At 44.0% G+C, this 4,493-nt stretch overlaps 1 annotated feature.

Moving 5' to 3' along the window:
• Positions 1,988-2,208: a silencer, noted in NCBI's record as "fragment chr2:107206419-107206639 (GRCh37/hg19 assembly coordinates)". NCBI's record gives its function as "represses an EF-1alpha promoter that drives an FKBP-Casp9 reporter gene in an ReSE screen in phorbol 12-myristate 13-acetate-treated (for megakaryocytic differentiation) K562 erythroleukemia cells {active_cell/tissue: K562(+PMA)}" and the evidence as "EXISTENCE:reporter gene assay evidence [ECO:0000049][PMID:32094911]".

The raw sequence follows: 4,493 nt of genomic DNA, 5'->3' as shown, positions 1-4,493 counted from the left end.
CCATGAGAGACAGACCAGGCTCCAGGGTGTTCTCTCGCTTATCTCCATGAGTTCCAGTCTTTCTCCTTCTCCACCTTATGTCCAGTGTTTGTTCCCAGCTGCCTGCTCTGCGGGCCCACAACCACCACCTCAGGACCTCAATAGCTGAAGAGGCGACAGCTTTCCTCAGACTTGTCCACTTCTCCCCTGTGTAGTTCTGAATCACTGTCCTCTTTCAGACCTTTACTTCTCCAGTTAAGCAAAGCTTCCCAGGCACCACAATTGTAATTGTGTAACTGTGTAAAAGTAACAAGCCCCATAAGCAATCTCATATTCTATAATACTCATGGTGGCTCTGCTTCCCTGATTGGACCCTATGCAGTGGGTCTTGACTATCTTTTTTTTTTTTTTTTTTTTTTTTTTTAAAGACAGAGTCTCTCTGTCAACCAGGCTGGAGTGCAGTGGTGCAATCTCAGCTCACTGCAACCTCTGTCTCCCAGCTTCAAGCAATTCTCGTGCCTCAGCGTCCTGAGTAGCTGGGACTACAGGCACACGACCCCATACCAGGCTAGTTTTTGTATTTTTAGTAGGATGGGTTTTTGCCATGTTGGCCAGGCTGGTCTCAAACTGCTGACCTCAAGTGATCTCCCCGCCTCAGCCTCCCAAAGTACTGGGATTACAGGCATGACCCACCATGCCTGGCTTGACCATCATTTATTAAATGGAAGGAGATGGAATAGGATAGCATAGGTTAGTGATATGGTTTGGATATTTGCCCCCTCCAAATCTCATGTTGAAATGTGATCTGATCCCCGATGTTGGAAGTGAAGCCTGGTGGAAGGTGTTTGTCATGGGGACGGCTTCCTCATGAATGGCTTGGTGCCCTCCCTACGGTAATGAGTGAGTTCTCACTCTATTAGTTTACATGGGAGCTGGTTTTTGTAGAAGCCCAGTACCACCTCCTCTTTCTTTTGCTTCCTCTCTCACCATATGACACACTTGTTCCTGTTTAACCTTCTGCCATGAGAAAAAGCTTCCTGAGGCCTCCCCAAAACCCAAGTAGATGCTGGCACCATGCTTCTTGTACAGTCTGCAGAGCCAAATAAACCTCTTTTCTTTATAAATTACCCAGTTTCATATATTCCTTTATAGCAATGCAAAATGGACTGATAGTTAAGATAGGACAGGATTGGACAGGAGAAAATAGGATAATGTCAATGCATCATGGAGAGTAAAGGTAACTTATTTATAAAGATTTTGCTTCAAATTTTTAGATAATCTAGGTCACCTTGGGTTTAATCCCAAAGATATCAACCCTCATTCCAGCCTGTATAAACGATGCCCTCCAGAGCTGTGCAGTGTGTAGCCTGTGTGTTTATTCAAATGACATCAGTCCTGATACAAAAAGTATTTCTATATGTAGGGGTGTCTTTGTTTTAGACCGCTATAGAATAAAACTACAGACTGGGTAATTTAGAATGAACAGAAACTCATGTTTGTGGAGTCTGGGAAGTCCAAGAGCATGTGCTGGCATCTGACAAGAGCATGTGCTGCATCACCCGGTGGCAGAGGTGTGAGGATGAGAAAGAGAAAGAAGAGGGCCAAACCTCATCCCTTTATCAGGAACCCACTCCAGGAATAATGGCATTAATCCACTCACAAGGGCCCTGCCTCCTTTTAGGGTAAAGAAATTTAGGAGCATAAAACCTGTATTCAAAGATACCTTCTGATCTGTAACTAGGTACACCACTACATAACCCAGTTTTTGACTGGACATCACATCTTAGTCCTCTGAACCTAAACTCACATTGAGGAGAAAGACAGCTGTGTCCATATACAGCCAAATAGAATTCATGGTTAGGCAAATACAAAGAAAAGCCCTCTTCTCAAATGGAATGTGGTTCCACAAGCATCAGGGCAAAAGGATCTCCAAGTTGGAGGCAGATACATAAGCAAGATGCTTTAAGGACAAGTCCTAGGGAAGAAGACATAAAGACAACAGAGGAATGGGCACTAACAAGGTTCAGAGGATGCAAGACTTTGTGAGATTGCAGGAGCAGGCAAAGATTTGACAAGTGAGGCACATAGCTGAGGATATGCTAGTTCCCCTGACTGCCCATAAGCCTCAGGATTCTGAGGGACACGGTGCCCAAGAATGACATCATTTTATTATTAAAAAATATCAGCTCTTCCAAAGTCACTTCTGCTCTTCCATCTTTTGCCTAGTCTCTGCTCTGCAGGCAGATATGTCCTGTTAAAAATTTAGCCAGATCAGCTGGGCATTGATGGTACACTGTTGTCTCGCCTACTCAGGAGGCTGAAGCAGGAGGATGACTTGAGCCCAGGAGTTAGAGGCTGCAGTGTGCTATCATCGTGGAAAAAAAAAAAAAAGCCAGATGATGCCACTCCTCTTTGAAGCCTCCGTGTGTCTCACCAACAGTCTCTGAAATCCTGTGAGACCTGGCTTCCACCTATTTCTCTGACCCATTTCCTACAACACATCTCCTATGCACACACTCTGACCAGCCCCACTGACCTCCTGCTCCTTCCAGAATGGGAAGCTTTCTATCTCAAGGCTTTTGCACTTGCTTTACCCTCTGCCTGGCATGCTGTCCCCCCAGAAACCTGTATGGCTCTCTCCTTCCCCACCTCCGGGTTTTTACCAATTTACATCTTCTCCATGAGGCCTTCCATGATCCCTTATTTAAAATTGCAGCCCCACGCCCACAATCTTCTTCCTTCTTCCTCACTTCTGCATCTTCCAGGGGCCATAACACATCTCGCTTAGCATATTTTACTTATTTGTTAATTCTCTGTCAATCTTTACTGGAATATAAATGCCAGTGAAAACAGGGGTTCATCTGCTTTGTTCAAGGCTATAGTCTCAAGGCTAAAGGGGCCTAGAGGAAAATCCACACTCAATACATACATGTTGAATGAACTCGATTTCCCAGCTGGTTTTGCCGACATAGGGGAATGGTGCTGTACACATATGTACTTGTACATGTACATACATGTTGGTATTCAGCCAGCTTAGTGAATTTTATTATTAGTCATAATACTGAATTAATTCTCACGGTTTTTTTTAATATAGATGTTTACACAATAATATCAAAACATTCCTTCCTAGAAGCAATGAATCCCAGACCGACCTAGCTGTTTTGTAAACGGTAGTAATATTCAAGACTAATAGGGAGGTAGAAAAAGAAATCAGACTTTCAAACAATATTTTAAAAATATTATCCAGCCACTATAAAGAAAGGGCTTATATCAGAGCCAATTGTTGATTGGATTGCTGATTCATTTTAAACAAAATAACTTCACGAGATGGAAAAGTGGCTTTAAAAAGATTTTTGTGTATTCACTATAGATTCAATATGGTACTAATAATGCCAGCCCAGGTGAACCTCAAAAAAATAACTAATATTAGGAGAAGGGTCCTAATACTACTATTTTTTTTTTCTTTGAGACGGAGTCTCGCTCTGCCGCCCAGGCTGGAGTGCAGTTGCACGACCTCAGCTCACTGCAAGCTCCGCCTCCCAGGTTCATGCCATTCTCCTGCCTCAGCCTCCCGAGTAGACTACTTCTAATACTAGTTCTTCATCAACCACATGTCAAGATAGAAGCAATGAGAAGTTGAACGGTAACTGTCAAGGAGGAGTATGGTTATATTTCCACCATTGGTGGCAAACCTCTGCCTGTGTGACTTGCGATATCGGCTAATGCTATTATGAACCCATCAGCACTAGACACAAAGACACTAAAAGACATTGAAAGACGTGAATAAGGATGTTGAAAGACATCCTTATTTCACCTTCAGCTCATCACTTAGTACTCGTATACAAGTTATGAGTAAATATACATATTGGGGGTGCACAGTCCAAAAAGTTTCAATGTCACTGCTCCAGAGCAATGTATATTAAACTTCTGGGAATATGAACCCTATACAGAATCTGGTGAAAGCCAAAGGTGCAACCTTAAATAAATACGCATTCATGCTAACTGTCACGAGGGCTTGGTCACCTCCAGGAGGCCCACCCGCATATTTATTTCTTTATTTTTATTTATTTATGAGAAGGAATCTCACTCTGTTGCCCAGGCTGGAGTACAGTGACGCCATCTTGGCTCACTGCAACCTCCCCCTCCCAGGTTCAAGCGATTCTCCTGCCTCAGCCTGCCGAGTAGCTGGGACTACAAGGCACCCGCCACAGCGCCGCCACCACACCCGGCTAATTTTTTGTATTTTTAGTGAAGACGGGGTTTCACCGTGTTAGCTAGAATGGTCTCAATCTCCTGACCTCGTGATCCACCCGCCTCGGCCTCCCAAAGTGCTGGGATTACGGCTGTGAGCCACCGCGCCCGGCCACGACCCACATACCTTTTAAGGGTCCGTGGACTCCAAAGGTAAGAAAGAATCCGTACTCTTGTTAGAAATGTTGGCTTATACTTTGATTTAGGTTAAAGGGTGGCGAGTGCTTTCTGTTCATTCTTCTGAAGTGAACAGAAGCAATGAA

Source organism: Homo sapiens, chromosome 2, assembly GCF_000001405.40.
Source record: "Homo sapiens chromosome 2, GRCh38.p14 Primary Assembly".
Lineage (NCBI taxonomy): Eukaryota > Metazoa > Chordata > Mammalia > Primates > Hominidae > Homo > Homo sapiens.
Note: the sequence above shows the minus strand (reverse complement) of the source record. Positions and strands in the feature narration are given on the sequence as shown.